Raw genomic sequence first — 16,111 nt, 5'->3', positions numbered from 1 at the left:
CCTGGGCCAAACCCCAGTAATCCACTTTAAGTCTTCATCACATGCCTCCAGCCTGGCCACCCCTGCCTCATGAATCTGAAGCTCTTTCTGTGTCACTTTTCTCCTCTACTCCCTGGGAGGTTCAGGAAGATCTTTGGGCTCCAGCCTGGGAGGCCCAGCTGGTGCTCTGTGTCTTGGTGGGAAGCCATGCCCTTGATTCTTTGGGTGACATCCCTCACAGCTCTTCTTGGTCGTCTGCCTGTGCCTGGAACCCTGGTCTGGATGCATCCTGCACCTCGCGCCTTGCCCACGGCTGGTCTCTTGCTCCATGGCCTCCCTGAGTGGCCCCACTCTGACACGGTCTGGCCAGGTGTTTACTCAAAGACATCAGTGAACATGGGGCTGGGGGTTCTTTCTAGGGTCGTGAATGCCAGGGTCTGGAACCTGAAGACTTTTCTAAGGCCAGGGCCCAGGTGCCACATTTGAAGCCCAGGGAAGGGTCCCTGTCATCCCTGGAGCAGAGCCATGTGGGCTGTGCATGTGGGCGACCACCCAGACCCCTTGCCTGGCCTTCCTCCCTGAAGGGCCTCTGGAGACCTGTATGTGTTTTTTTTTCTCTGTCTGTGCCAGGCCCCAAAAGATGCCCTGCAGACAGCAGTAAAACATAATTCTGTCTAACCCGTCACGACTCCGGCAGAGACGAGATGAAATGTGTGTCTGTCTCGCTAGCACCCAGGCAGCCGGACTGGGTGTAATGAAATTGTCTGAGTGAGGAGGGTTCAGCTTCGGGCCAAGGGGGCTCCAGGGAGAGGCAGACACACAAGTCACACTGCTCTGATACGGGAGGGTCTGCCATGCTCCCTGGCCTCAGCTCAACCAGGGAGAAAGTGAGGAGGACCCTATCTCACCCCAGTAGGTCCGTGCCTGGCTGTAAGGCCAACCAGCACCACAGCAGGGCTGCTCCTCCTTCAGGCCTAGGTTTATTGTCTGCACCTGGGGGTAGGCAGCCCTACCAGGAAGCCCACAGGCCCTATATCTCAGGGACCCGCCTTCCAGACCCTGCTAGGGACAGCAGTGCCACCTTGTTGTTCACTCTTGCTAGTTGAACACTGGTTGGAACAGGGCTGAGCACTTCATGTGCATCACCTCATTTAATCTACAGACACCCCAGCTGGGCAGGGGTGGTTCTTACCCCCAGAAGACAAAATGAAAGATCAAAGGATTAAGCAATTTGCCCACTGTCACAGCTAACAGGTGGCAGAAGGTCTAGCTGATTGTTTTATTTTAATCACAACACTACCAGCCCTTCTCTGTCTGTTTACACACACACCACTCAAATGCTACAGCTGCTGCCTTCTGAAACATCAGGTAATAAAGTGCAGGTAAAAGTTGCCCACAAATTCCATCCATCTGATGGAACCCTCTCCAGCATTCAGTCAACGTTTATTCCACACTCTTCATACAAACAGACATGTACAGAGTAGTAATAATCTTTTTTTAAAAAAGTATCATGTTCTACATGAATTTTTAAAGTAAAAATTAAATTTAATCTTTTTTAAAAAAAGTATCATGTTCTACGTGATCTTTTTTTAAAAAAGTATCATGTTCTACATGATCTTTTTTTAAAAAAGTATCGTGTTCTACATGATCTTTTTTTAAAAAAGTATCATGTTCTACATGAGTTTTTAAGGTAAAAATTAAATTTAATGTTATTTGAATTTAACCAGACAAATGTATCAATTTTCATGTATCTCAAGTGAAATGGGAGTTGCTAAACTGAGGAAAAAGATTTCTTTATTGTAAGTGATAATAGTCCTAAAAGGTTAAAGGTGAGAGAAAAGCTTTTGAAAATAGCTTGATTGAAGTATAATAACATACCATACATATACTCATTTAAAGTATACGATTAAATGGTTTTGGTATATTATTGATTTTTTTAAATTGTGGTAAGTATATATATAACATAAACTTTGCTATTTTAACAGTTTTTAAGTGTACTATTTCATCACAGTAAGTATATTCACAATGTTGAGCAACCATCACCACTACCACTTCCAAAGCTTTTTTATCACCCAAATAGAAACTCTGTAACTATTAAACAACTACTCCCATTTCCTCCAACCCCAGCCCCTGGTGACCTCTAATCTATTTTCTGAGAGAAAAACTTTTAAAAGGTTAAAGTCATTAATTTTTTTTTAATAATAAACTTTATTTATTTTTTGAGATAGGGTCTCGCTCTGTTGCCCAGGCTGGAGTGCAGTGGCACGATCTTGGCTCACTGCAACCTCCACCTCCCGGGCTCAAGGGATCCTCCCACCTCAGCCTCCCGAGTAGCTGGCACTACAGGCACTCCACCACACCTGGCTAACTTTTGTATTTTTTGTAGAGATGGGGTTTCACCACGTTGCTCAGGCTGGTCTCAAACTCCTGACCTCAAGTGATCTGCCTACTTTGGCCTCCCAAAGTACTGGGATTAAGGCGTGAGCCACCTAAACTTTATTTTTTTTAAGAGCTGTTTTAGATTCACAGCAAAATTGAGTGGCAAGTACGGAGTTCCCATATGCCCCTTCCCCCACTCTCAGCATCACACATCAATGTGCCCTGTTTGTTACAATGAATGAGCCTGCAGTGACATGGCATCGCCCTAAGTCCGTAGATTACACAAGGGCTCACTCTTGATGTTGTACTTTCTGTGGGTTTGGACAAATGTATGAGGACATGCATCCGCCATTGTAGTATCCCACAGAGTACTTTTACTGCCCTAAAAATCCTCCATTCTCTGCCTGTTCATCTCTCACTAATTTTTCTACCTACTTAATGAACCAACTTCTATGCTATGGAAGTTGAGGAAACGATATTTCTACCTTTGTTCTTCTCCAAATTTGTCTTAGTTGTATTATCATTTGTGTACAGTGTTGAGGTTTTGATAGTCAGTTCAATCACATAATTGCCATGATTTCAAAATATCAATGCCGTGTTCATCAGGATTTCTCCATTTATTACCTCATTTTGACTTATCTTTTTGGTTAGTTGGATTTCAACATCAGATAATTTTTTCTTTTTTTTTGAATTTTATGTATTTATTTATTTTTGAGACAGGGCCTTGCTCTGTGATTCAGGCTGGAGTGCAGTAGCGCAAACATGGCTCACTGCAGCCTTGACCTCCTGTGCTCAAGCCATCCTCTCACCTCATCTCCCCAGGATGCAGCCCGGCCGTGCCAGGGGTGCATGGTGGGAGGCCACTCGATGGAGCCCCATGTTCCTGCCCTGGGGCCTTTGCTCACGCTGTTCCTTCTTACTGGATTGAGTCCTTCTCACACCTACCCTCAGCTCTGCCCTTAGCCTCCCCAAGTGTCTGGATTACAGGTGTCTGCCGCCTTGCCCAGCTAATTTTTTTTAAGTGTATGATTTTTTGAAGAGACAGTATCTCACTGTATTGCCCAGGCTGGTCTTGAACTCCTGGGCTCAGGTAATCCTCCTGCCTTGGTTTCCCAAAGTGCTAGGATTATAGGTGTGAGCCACCGTGCCCGGCCAGGTAATTATTTTTTAGATGACTTTAAGGATGTCTAAGCCCCTAAACTCATGCTTCAGAGAGCCCCACCTCATCTCCCCAAGATGCAGCCTGGCCATGCCAGGGGCACATGGTGGGAAGCCACTCAATGGAGCCCCACGTTCCTGCCCTGGGGCCTTTGCTCACGCTGTTCCTTCTTACTGGATTGAGTACTTCTCACACCCGCCCTCAGCTCTGCCGAGCAGAATCCCATGGATCTCAGAGAGCCTGGCTCCGCCTTCCATGAAGCCTTTCCTGAGACCCCTCTGGACTGAGCAACTTATCTTGTTTTCATGACACTCATGGTAACTCCAGAAGTCAGATAGTATTATCCCCATTTTATATATGGAGAGACCGAGGCTCAGCAGATACAGGGGCTTTTCCAGGAGGTCACACAGCTGGTAAAGGCATTGTGAGGCTTTGCAGTCAGATCCCAGAGTGAGCTCCAAACTGTCACCTCCCGTCACATTCTGTGTCACTCTTAGAGTTCTGAGTCCTCTCTCCTATTAGTCACCCGTGCATTTAACTGTAAGATATAGAACGATTTATTTGTTTTTTCCTTCTTCCTATCCATGTATGTACCTACTTACTTACCTCTACAGCTCTTTAGTTCCTTGTGGGCAGAAACACGGTTGCTTTTCCCTAAGCCAGCCTTGATGGAATTGCATCCTGAGCACTTGCACTTTCTGATGCTCTTCCACCATGTGGCTGCTGCCCTTGCACGGTCCTAAGCTTTGCCCCACTCCACCCAGGTGCCAGGAGCCTCCAAGGGGCCTCTGGGCCCTCCAGGTGTGTGTTCCCTCTCTGTCTCTGTCCCTCTGCCTGCACGCAAAAATATCCCAGCGGAGCTGTGGACAGCACCTGTGCAATTAACAGCTCACCTGACAGCTTGTCCGTGGGGGAACATCATTAGGTATCTGTTCCAGACATGTGCTCACAGAGCCTTTGAAATCAGAGACCCAAGCCAGTGTCTGGGTGCTGGCTCAGGCTGCGAGATTTCACCCCTGGTTGTTATTTGAGGTGATGGAGACATTTAAGGAACATTATGAATCTGGCTCAGGGGGTCCTACCTTGCTAGTGCCTGGTGAGCCTGGAATCTGAGAGGATTGAGAAAGGACTGATTTGCATGGGGATGAGCAGGGCAGGTCATGTACGCTGGAGGGGTTAAGACTCCCAAAGGGCAGAATGCTTAGACTCGTAAGGTTTCTGAAGAACATTTAGAGTCTGTGTCTGACCATGTTATTTAGATGACTAAATGAGACTTGCCCACTCTGGGTCACTGCATTTGCCCCACAGTAAAGGAGCCCACCTGAGGCCCCACAGAGGCGGAGTGGGTGCTGCACGTCACACAGGTGTACTGCTTCACACCAAGCACCTGCTGTGCCTTCCTAGTTGGGCGATGCTGGGGCTTCAATGAAGAACCACGTGAAGAAGCTTCAGAAACAACCCCCATTGAACTTCAATTTTCCCTTCCCGTCTCCAACCCTAATTTCCTCCAACTTCCCTCAAACATAAAGCTCTCTCTCCTTTATGTATGTAAGTTTCTCAGATCAGGTGCCTGTGCTACCCTCCCAGCCAGCTGGAAGTCCATCCAGGTGTCAGACTTGGGTCCCTTGCTACTTCGGCCCAGCCAGCTCTTGTTTCACACCTCACAGGATAAGGTGCAGCCTGGGGACTGTAGGGCCATTGCTTCTCTCTCCTGTGTCCTCAGCTTCCAGCCAGGTGTGAGAATAGACATGTGGGCCTAGGCGGAGCTGAGTCTGGGAGTATGGGGAAGAACTCCACAGGGCCTCAGGCCCTAAACTTGCAGGTCCCATGGGCTGTTAGCTAGACCCATTGACCTTGAAGAAGGTCAGCAATGGTCTTTTTTCACTTGAGCACAGCCTCTGGGGAGCTTTGGGGTTGATCAGGGATCAGAAAGGCTGGTGGACAGGTCGCAGGAGAGGGGAAGCCCCTCCTAGCAAGAGTCCTTATGGATATAGCAGGGCCTGGGGCCACCCCAAGGAGGGGAACAGGGCAAGGAAACTTCCCAGAGAGAGGGGAGCTAGAGGGGATTTCTGTGTCCAGGTGATGCTGCTCAGCAGCACCATGGGGAGTCTGGGTCAGAGACCTCCAAGGGGCAGTTGGGGTCTGGGATCCAGGGTTATCTTATCTACAGCCAGCAGATGTTGGGTGCAGTTTCTGGGGTATATAAAGTATCTAGGCTCTAATCGGCTAAAAAAGAGCTTCACTTGGACTATATTTAAAGCAACTGGATGTGAGAATTGGGTTCTTTTTTAATAGAGAGGAGGGTCTTGCTATGTTTCCCAGGCTGGTCTTGAGCTTGCTTGACCTCAAGCAGTCCACCTGCCTTGGCATCCCATAATGCCAGGATGGATGTGAGAATTTGAATGGGCTTCGGGCTGACGTTCCTACCTGCTGTGAACTAAACAACTGGGAGCCGCTGTTTTAGGCTAGCACAAGGGATGGAGCCCCTTTATCAGACCTTTCCTCTCTCTGTCTTTCTCCCTAAGTGGCTTATTTAAGAACTTCTTTTAACCCTGTCTACTGGTATTCCTGAGAGTTCTGATAAATGTTTTTCTCAACCTTGTTAGCTACCCAGTAATGCTTTAGCACCTGGGTGATACTCCAATGCCCGATAGAGAGCCGTGCCCTGGGGAAGTTGCCTGACTGGCCAGGCCCTTGCTTTTATCACTTAGCAGGAGTCCTGCCCATGGTCACTGTGAATCCTCCCTGGCTGCTGTCCTTGGAGTAGTCTTGCTAAAATACTACCGTTAGCCGGGTGTGGGTGGCGTGCATCTGTAGTCCCAGCTACTCTGGAGGCTGAGGCAGAAGGATAGCTTGAGCCCAGGAGATCAAGGCTGCAGTGAGCTGGGATTGCACCACTGCACTCTAGCCTGGGTGCAGAGTGAGACCTTGTCTCTAAACAATAAATAAATGTAAAATTTATTTATCATCCATCCTGAAAACCTTCACTTGGCTTCATGTTAACAGCATGTGACCTTTGGAGGTGACCAAATGATATTTATGGCAAAGCTTCAGCCATCTGGGGCTTGGGTTTTAAGGGGTGATTTCATTTTCCGGATAACTGAGTATGCGCCTCTTCCAAGCACCAAGTTTTTGTTTTTTTTTTTGAGACGGAGTTTCACTCTTGTCCCCCAGGCTGGAGTGCAATGGCGCGATCTCAGCTCACTGCAACCTCCGCCTCCTGGGTTCAAGCGATTCTCCTGCCTCAGCCTCCCAAGTAGTTGGGACCACAGGCTCCTGCCACCACCTGCGGCTAATTTTTGTGTTTTTAGTAGAGACGGGGTTTCACCATGTTGGCCAGTCTGGTCTTGAACGCCGAACCTCAAGTGATCTGCCTACCTTGGCCTCCCAAAGTGCTGGGATTACAAGTGTGAGCCACTGTGCCCGGCCCAGTTAAAAAAAAATGTGATTGCTTAGGGACAAATCTTCATCAAATATATTCTTTGTCACTTAAATAGAGGTGGCTATGAGCACACTCTCTGCTTATCTTGTCTCATCTACTTCCCAGACATAGCCCAATGGAAGGAATAAAATAGATGCCAATAAATGTTTCTTATTGGATTGAACTGAAACCAAACGTTAAATCACTCAGAGTCTCCCCCTTGGGATGTAGTGATGTCATCTGCCCCTAATGGCATGGCTCAGACTGCTGACTTGTGAATGTCTCATGTCTGTGCTGCTTAGTTTTATTTGATCTGCCTGCTTTTCCATGACCAGCTATCATTACTCACTGTGTCAGTACCGGGGAAATAGATGCTGTACCTTGTTAGGATTGTGAGTAAAACAAGAGCACGGTGTTCTTACCCTGGCCCTTGTTTATGGAGTGACAATTCTTTACTTCCCCGTGGCTGTTTGTTGATCAGAGAGCTTACACATAGCCTCTCACTTGTCCTTTTGGTAGCTGTTAGCAAACAAGAAAAATAAAGGTTGGAAAGGAGAGAACCTGCTCAAAGTTGCACCGTTGGATCATGCCTGATCAGAGGCCACAATTCCAGCCTCAGGTGTAGACCGGGCCTTTCCTCTGTGCTATGGTATTCACCAGCCTTTGCAGAAAGTGACTGTTCTGTTCTGTCCTCTCTGTCTCCCAGGGGTCCTTGGTGAATTTTGTCATGGTTATTTAAGGAACCTTGCCTAGAAGTCCCAACTTGCAGTTCCCCATCGACGGGAAGGCTTGGACTCCAAGATGATTATAAAGGAATATCGGATTCCTCTGCCAATGACCGTGGAGGAGTACCGCATCGCCCAGCTGTACATGATACAGGTGGGTCGTGGGGCAAGGGTGGGTCATGGGGTGAGGGTGGGTCGCGCCAGCGCACAGACACCACATGTGGGTTAGGTGGAGTTGTGGCCTTCACAGTGCAGTGCCTGCCCCAGAACTTCCTGGTAAGTGTGAATTGTGCTGGACCCCTGGCCTCTAGGCACGATGCCAGGCGCACAGAGCACACCATGGGCGCACGGCATCAGATTGCTTTCCGGCACTGTGTCCCGCCGCCTACAACGCGAACACTTGCCCTTGCGTTCAGCACCATTATCTCCCTGGCCCAGACGTTATCCCTATGTTTTCCTATGTTTCAGTTTGCCTGGGCTGCCATCAGTAAATACCACAAACTGGGGGCGTAGAGGAACACACTTCCTCACAGTTCTGGGGGCCGGAAGTCCCAGATCAAGGCCTGGCAAGTGCGGTTTCTGGTGAGGGCCCTCTTCCTGGCTTGCACATGGGCGCCTTCTCCCTGTTTCCTAACATGGCAGAGAGTGAGCAGGCTCTGGTGTCTTCTCTTTTTCTTTTTCTCCTCTGTTTTTTATTTGTGTAAATGTATAGGATACAACTGTAATTTTGTTGCATGCACAGATTGGAAAATGGTGCTTGTAGGGTATCTATCACTCAAATACCCTGTACTCATTAAGTAATCCCTCATCTTCCACCCTTCCTTATCTTCTAAGGACACCAGTCCCATTGTGAGGGCCCCACCCATATGATCTCATCTAGCCCTGATTACCACCCAAAGGCCCCATCTCCAAATACCATCACACTGGGGGTCAGGCCTTTTAGGGGGACAGAGACATTCAGTCCATAACACCCCATTCTACAGACAGGAAGGCGTATGAGGCCCAGAGATGTTAAATGCCTTGCCAAGGAGCACAGGGCCTGTCTCCTAGCTCCCAGCTCCATGCTTTCCTCACCACCCTGACTGCTTGCAAAAAAGCAGTGTCAGACATGTGGCTCACTTACAGACGCACACAGGAGTTTGAGGATGACAGGCTCCTTTGACGAGCCAGAGACTCTTGCTTAGGAGACACCTCCAGTCTCCCTACTCAGTGCCTGATCAACCTGGAACACAAGACCTGGCTGCCTCTGGCTGACCCCAGATGGGACCACTGCTCCCACTTGCTGCAGTCCTGGCTGCAGTCCTTTCTATGTAGAGGTTCCATCCCAGCTCTCCTGCTGGCCTTCTGTCCACCCTCAGTGCCTGGCATGGCCTAGCCCGGCAGCTTCCCTCCAGGCTGAGGGTCTTCGGGCTTCCCACACTGATTATGAACCTGCTGTCAGCCTGGCTCTGGCTCCTCTGGGCATATCAGTGCCTCCAGTCCCTGTGACCCAGTGGGGCTTGCCCTCCTCCAGCTTCTTGCTGTACAACCCCTTAATTACAGCATCAGACTGAGTCGTTGGTGTGGGGGAAAGGCTTCAGCAGGGCCTCCACCTCCCATCACTGGCTTCGCCTATTGGGCTCCCACCTTCCACCCAGGTCAGGGGAGGTAGCTGTGAGCTCGCAGCAGAGCCTGCAGCCCCAGCTGCCTTCTGGGAGGAGCTTGAGGAAGCTGCAAGGGTTTGTCCAGGCTCCCCTATGTGGGAGCCTTGGCTGGGAAAAGAACGGAAGGTGAACCCAGCCTCTCCGGGGGGCTGTTTGCTCTGAGCTGCTTCAGAAGGACCACTCAATTCCCTCTTGAACCACTTACCCGATAATTATTTCTAGAGAGTGGAGAGAGAGGAAGCAGCTTAAATCAGCCCCCCATCTCTGAGCACTCTGGAAATAGCTCAGCGTGTTCAAGGACCAGGCTGATCTGCCAGTGCTGCTGTTGTCTTACTGCTTCTCAATTCCCACCCAAGCCAGGGTGAACCCAGACCACAGGAGCCCCTCAGCTCCACCTGGCCTCCCGGTGGCTGTCAAGATCGGGAGGACTGACCTCCAGCCCCCAGGAGATCCCAAAGCTGTTCTGGAGCATAGAATCACCTCTGGGCTCCTCAAAACACCTGTCACTCCAGGTTTTTGTTTGTTTGTTTGTTTGTTTGTTTGTTTTTGAGATGGAGTCTTGCTCTGTCGCCAGGCTGGAGTGCAGCATCGTGATCTCGGCTCACTGCAACCTCCACCTCCTGGGTTCAAGCGATTCTCATGCCTCAGCCTCCGGAGTAGCTGGGATTACAGGCACGCGCCACCACACCCAACTAATTTTCGTATTTTTAGTAGAGACAGGGTTTCACCATGTTGGCCAGGACAGTCTCAGTCTCCTGACCTTGTGATCCACTCACCTTGGCCTCCCAAAGTGCTGGGATTACAGGCGTGAGCCACGATGCCCAGCCACTTCAGGGTTTTTTTGAACACCTATCCTTATGCCTCGAATGAATGTAACTGTTAAGCATCATATAGTTCCCTGTTAGACGCTCAGACCTTCCTGCAGCTGTGCAGCCAGGCCCCGTCCATCTAGCCGACACATGCAGTGTCTTTTGAGAAGCTCCATTGATTAGGATTGTGGCAGGATGGAAACATCTCCCGCCTTGCAGATCGTGAGCATCAGCACTCTCAGGGCCCTTCGTGAGAGCTTGTTGGACAGATGGGCATCCTCCCCAGCTAGGCAGAGACACTGTGGCCTCTAAGGGCTAGCTGGAGTCATTGCTGCTCCTCTGAGCTTCCAGAGCCTTTCCCTGTGCACCTTCTGGGTGAGCAAGCATGTGTGCACACGTCTGCTTTCCTGTTAAAAAAGAAAGGTGAAAGAAACCAGGTATTGCCGGGAGAGGTGCTTCTGTGACAGGCACTAGCATGCTTGGAGGGGAGATTGGGGGCAAGGCTGTTGGTGTTCCTGCTCAGGCTGGCTGGCTGGGCAGCTCTCCTCTGGGCAGGCCTTGAGGCTGGGGGTGTCGGATAGACAGCTTGGTGATGGGCAGGGGGTCTGCTGCACATCACAGGTGCTAGTGCCCTGCACCTGTGTCCTCTGTGTTCTTGGTGTGTGCTGTCTCCGGCCTGAGGACTAATTGCTGTGTTTGAGGTGCTTCAGCCCTCATGTAGTTACCAGGAAGCCATAGGTTCCTGCTAGAGCTACTGACTGGGAAGTTTCCCATGCACTTAAGGCCCCTGCTGGCCAGCCCTGCCCCAGCTGGGTCTTAGACAGGCGGATGCATCGCTGGGTTCTGGCCTCCACAGCCCCCAGTCCGAGCTCCAACAAAATGAGCTCCAAGATATTGCCAGGCCCATAGGTCGTGTGCCCTCTGAGGGGCAAAACGCTGGCCTGCCTACTGTCTGCATGGACGGGGCTCAGGCTATCAGGTCTCTATAGCATTTGGAAGAAATTCTTTTGGGACTAGGGGCTTTGGGCTTACTTGATTGGTTGTTGTCTTGTTTTGCTTTTATTGAGGTGAAATTCACAAAACATTAACAACCATTTTTAAGTGAACAATTCAGTGGCATTTAGTATACTCACAATGTTGTGCAACCACCAACTTTAGTTCCAAAACACTTTCATCACCCCAGAAAGAAACCCCATATCCATTAAACAGTCACTCCTCACTCCCCCTCCCCACCCCCTGACAATCACTAATGTACTACCTGTCTCCCTGGGTTTGCCTGTTCTGGACATTTCATGTGCATGGCATCACTCACAGTGTTGCTCTTTGTGTCTGGCTTCTTTCACTCAGTGTCATGTTGTTGGGATTCATCCATGTCATAGCATGTGTCAGTGCCTCATTACGTTTTATGGCTGAATCATATTCCACTGTATGAACAGACCACATTTTGCTTATCCATTCATCCATTGATGGACATTTGGGTTGACATTAGCATACAAATATCTGTTTTCTTTTTTTTTTTTTTGAGATGGAGTCTCGCTCTGTCGCCCAGGGTGGAGTGCAGTGGCGTCATCTCAGCTCACTGCAAGCTCCGCCTCCCGGGTTCACGCCATTCTCCTGCCTCAGCCTCCCGAGTAGCTGGGTCTACAGGCGCGTGCCACCACCCCTGGCTAATTTTTTGTATTTTTAGTAGAGACGGGGTTTCACCATGTTAGCCAGGATGGTCTCGAGCTCCTGACCTCGTGATCCGCCCGCCTCAGCTTCCCAAAGTGCTGGGATTACAGGCGTGAGCCACCGCGCCCGGCCTACAAGTATCTATTTTCAATTCTTCCGGGTCTACACCTAGGAAGGGAATTTCTGGGTCACATGGTGACGCTATGCTTGATGTCTGCAGGAACCACCAGACTGTTTTCCACAGTGGCTGCACCATTTTACATTCCTACTGGGAATGTATGAAGTTTCCAGTTTCTCCACATCCTCACCAGCACTTACTGTCCTCTTTTTAAATAAATGCTACCCTAGTGAGTATGTTTTGAAACAGAAGAGTCCCCAGGTTATCTCAAGGGTCCTTCTGCCCATCTTTCAGACCAGCCAGCATGCTGTGTCCTTCTCGGAGGCTTTTCTGATCTCCATGGGCAGCATGAGTGATTTCTTTCCCTGAATCCTCGCAGTTTCCTGTCAGTCCCACACCTGGGCACCTAGTGCCTTCCACCTCTTTGTGGGTGTCTGTCTGCTTCCTGCTGGACAGTGAGTGTCTCAGGGCAGGGTTTAGGTCTGTGGGTCTGTTTTCCCAGTTTCTGGCTCATATCCTCTTTAGTGCACATGGGCTGCTCCTCCCTCCCTCACCCATGGCTCTAGTGCACACACACACACACACACACACACACACAGACACATATGTGTGTCCACACACAACATATGTACATGCAAGCACAGCCACCTATGCATACAGGTATGTACACAAATACATGCAGACACATGCACAGACCTATACAGACACATGCATGCACACACAACATGCACACATATGTGCACATGTGTACATGCATCTCCACAGACACACACACACACACACATACACCACAAGACCCAAGGGGGTAGTGCTCCTCTTGGTTGCTTTTTCTGTTTTTTTGAGATGAAGTCTCACTCTGTTCCCCAGGCTGAAGTGCAGTGGTGTAATCTCAGCTCACTGCAACCTTTGCCTCTCGGGTTTAAGCGATTCCTCTGCCTCAGTCTCCCCAGTAGCTGGGATTACAGGTGCCCGCCTCCATGCCTGGCTAATTTTTGTATTTTTAGTAGAGATGGGCTTTCGCCATGTTGGCCAGGCTGGTCTTGAACTCCTGACCTCAGGTGATCCACCCACAGTCTCCCAAAGTGCTGGGATTACAGGCATGAGCCACCATGCACAGCCAGTTTCTTTATCTGTAACCTAAGCTAGGCTCTCAGAGAGCATAGTTTCCCATTTTACATATGGGGAAATTGAGGTCCACAGGGCCAGGGTTGGAGCTCAGATCTCCGGGCTCCTAGGTGGCCTCTTTGGGACCCCTAGTAGGCCAAGGGAGGCTGCTGCCAATCTCAGAGGTGAGGGCACCCTGGCAGGCGGAGAGGACCAGGAGGTGCCAGTGTCTAGATTGGGGAGGAGGCAGCATTGGGAGGGATCTCCCCTCTCAACCCCAGCCTGTGCTGTGGCTCCCAGGCCTGAGGGCAGAGCAGGTGGGCAGGAGGGGAGAGGTTCAGGCCACCCCGACTTGGAGACCCAAGGCACTACCTGTGCCCTTCCTGTCACCAAGACCCCTACTGTCAGCCCAATTTCCATCTTGAGAGCTCTTGCCCCTCCTGCAGGGCTGGTGTGAATGCCCCTCTTCCAGGCAGCTTCCTCTGACCCTCTGGGTCCTGAGGGCACTCATTCTTCCCAGCCCCACCTGCCCGTCTGTGCCCGCTCTAGCCTTTTTCTAACCTGCGGTTCCTGGGGTTCTTGTCACTGTGGGGTGATGGACTCAAAAGTGTGAACGTACGTCAGAATCACCAGCTGCTCCTTTACATGTGTACAGCTTATTGTATGTCAGTCATACCTCAGTAACATTGCTAAAAAGTAAGTTAAAGTCACCTGACTTTCCTGTGCACTTCCTGTGCCAAGGGCTGAGTTGCAGAGGGGGATGAAAGTCCTTCCCGTTCTCTGGGAAGATAGATTTCACATACGTTTCAGCACAGGCTCAAGGGCACAGTCTGCACTGGCCTCCCAAGATGGATAGGCCTTCAAGAAGACTGCTGTGTTTTTGTGGAAAGAATAATAAGAAGACCTTAGTTCATCATTTCCCACTTCTGCCACTTGCCAGCCAGTGGCAGCTAGGAATAGGCCTTCCTCTCTGCAAGCTGCCCCGCTGGAAGGTTGTGAAAAAGATGGGCTGGGCTCGCGCGTCAAAGTACCTGGCACCCTGCTGGAGCAGCACTCAATATACACCGTGTTAAAGGTGAGAAAACAAAATCGTCTGCCTGGCTGGGAGAGGGCCATCCGTCCGAGGTGTTCAGCGAATGTGTGCCGCCGAGGGAGTGGCCGGAGGTGGCCTGGCCAGGACCCTGGGAGCGGCTGCTTTCAGGGGTTTCTTGGTCTTGATCTTTCTTTGCATCCTCCCCCAACTCCTTCGTTAGCCCCTGGGGAGCCAGGCCTGTCTCTGCTGTCCAACTGCCGCTGTCTCTGAAAACAGTACCGCAGCACTGTTTAGGGGAATGGTAGGCAGGGACGAGGGGGTGGCTGCTCATGTGGCAGAGATCAGAGTGATTCGAGAAGAGCTTGCTCCTAAGTGGCATGACTGAGTAGCTGTGCCAGGAGGGGCCTGCCCCCCTTGGACGCCATCACTGGTGGGGAGCCAGAGGTCAGCTTGGGGAGGACTGGCTGCCCTTGGTGATGCCAGCTTTGAAGTTCCTGGTGACAGTTGGAACTAGAATCCATTCTTCATTTGACCAATCTTTACCTAGCATCTATTTCAGGAAACACCAAAGTGCTATACAGGGGGTCCCGTCTGGCTCCCAGTGGCTCTGCCACTGACTGCAGCCCTCACACCCCTCCACAGCCGACTGAATCAGTGTCCAGCAAATGATCAGAACCTGCTTTAATCCTCACGATAACCTGCACAGTTGGTGGTACTCATCCCCATTCATCCCCATCCCCAGATGACAGCTCGAGGCTCAGAGATATCAAGGAACTTGCCCAAGGGTGCATAGCTGGCCTAATGATACCAGTCTGCCCAGAGATGTGGTGGGCTGCCTTTTTCACATTGCTTTTAGTGGAGCACTTTGAGGTCTCCTAGTTCACCCCTTCTCTGAAGTTCCAGCTGTTGGAGGTTACATGCTCTCCACCCTGTCTGACTCTGAAGCCAGTGCTCTCCCTTTCACAGCTCTGCCTTCCAGTGCTCAGATACTCAGAGCTACACATAGCACAGGGTCACCTATGGGTGGCAAGGCCAGGGGTACTGGAGTCAGCATGAAGAGTCACCATACACTGGGGAAAGTGCTGGTGACTGAAGATGTATGTGGCCAAGGGCTGGGTGGGAGGTGGTGAGGACTCCACCTGCCCCACCGAGAGATGAGGGACAGGTGGGGGGCCATCAGTGTAGTGTGCTTGTTTCTCCAGCAGGCAGGCTGAAGCTCACTCACAGGAGGCCATTGTGGGCACTCACCCCACTGGTGACCAGTGTCCCCCCCAGAATCTGCATCCACCTGCAGTCTCAGAATGTGGCCTTATTTTGAAATAGGGCCTCTGAAGGTGTAATTTGTTAAGGATCTTGAAATGAGATCATTCTGGATTTAGAGAGGTCCCTGAATGAATGACTAGTGTCCCTATAAGAAAAGGAAAGGACCAAGACACAGGAAAGATGAAGCAGAGATTGGAGAGATACAGCATGGGCCAAGGAGCACTGGGAGCCAGCAGCAGCTGGAAGAGGCAGGAGGCATCCTCCCTAGACCGCACAGGATGCTACTGGGTGAGCCTGCTGTCCTGGAAAAGGCGTGAAGTCTGCCTGAGTGGGCAGGGGCTTCTGCGCAGCCACCCAGCAAGGCCAAGGTGGAAGGGACCCTCCTGGCCCCTGTCCTGGCTCCACCCTCAGCTGCTGGCAGGTGGGTCACCAGGCCTCTGCCCAAAGAAACTCCTGCAGGCAGCTCTGGACCCCCTGTCTTACACACCTTCTCACTGAGCCTGCCAGCATCCCAGGTATCTTATTTCCTGGCGCTGCCATAACAAAGAACCACAAACTGCATAGCTTGAAACAATAGACATTTATTCTTTCACAGTTCTGGAGGCCAGAAACCAGAGAGGCAGGTGTCCGCAGGGCTGCACTTCCTCCAAAGGTTCTACGGGTAGACCCTTCCTTGTCTCTTCCAGCTTCTGGTGGCTCCAAGCATACCTTAGTTTGTGGCCACGTCACTCCATTTACATCGGCAAAGACCCTATTTCCAAATAAGGTCACATTCCAAGGGCCTGGTGGGGACATTCCACCCATTAC

The 16,111-nt window shown here is 50.7% G+C and overlaps 1 protein-coding gene across 31 annotated transcripts in view, besides 2 other annotated features; it reads left to right on the top strand.

Annotated features, from left to right (window-relative positions):
• PITPNM2 (phosphatidylinositol transfer protein membrane associated 2) overlaps positions 1–16,111 on the top strand; it is a 168,369-nt gene that overhangs the window by 109,519 nt on the left and 42,739 nt on the right. For 29 of the 31 annotated variants that reach the window (XM_047429206.1, XM_047429208.1, XM_047429215.1 and 26 more), the window contains one exon: positions 7,645–7,817. In XM_047429206.1, coding sequence (XP_047285162.1) covers positions 7,740–7,817 — 78 coding nt within the window. In that variant the 5' untranslated portion in view covers positions 7,645–7,739. Of the gene's footprint in view, positions 1–7,644; positions 7,818–16,111 lie in introns of those variants that run through there. The other 2 variants (XM_047429217.1, XM_024449100.2) reach the window with 2 other exon arrangements.
• Positions 12,853–13,810: an enhancer, noted in NCBI's record as "H3K4me1 hESC enhancer chr12:123513067-123514024 (GRCh37/hg19 assembly coordinates)". NCBI's record gives its function as "activates a minimal SCP1, AML or CMV promoter by ChIP-STARR-seq in naive H9 embryonic stem cells {active_cell/tissue: H9 hESC(naive)}" and the evidence as "EXISTENCE:reporter gene assay evidence [ECO:0000049][PMID:30033119]".
• Positions 13,811–14,769: an enhancer, noted in NCBI's record as "H3K4me1 hESC enhancer chr12:123512108-123513066 (GRCh37/hg19 assembly coordinates)". NCBI's record gives its function as "activates a minimal SCP1, AML or CMV promoter by ChIP-STARR-seq in naive H9 embryonic stem cells {active_cell/tissue: H9 hESC(naive)}" and the evidence as "EXISTENCE:reporter gene assay evidence [ECO:0000049][PMID:30033119]".

The sequence above is a fragment of the Homo sapiens genome, chromosome 12 (genome assembly GCF_000001405.40).
Source record: "Homo sapiens chromosome 12, GRCh38.p14 Primary Assembly".
Taxonomy (NCBI): Eukaryota; Metazoa; Chordata; class Mammalia; order Primates; family Hominidae; genus Homo; species Homo sapiens.
The sequence above is the reverse complement of the archived record's forward strand: the minus strand, read 5'-3'. Positions and strand labels throughout refer to the sequence as shown.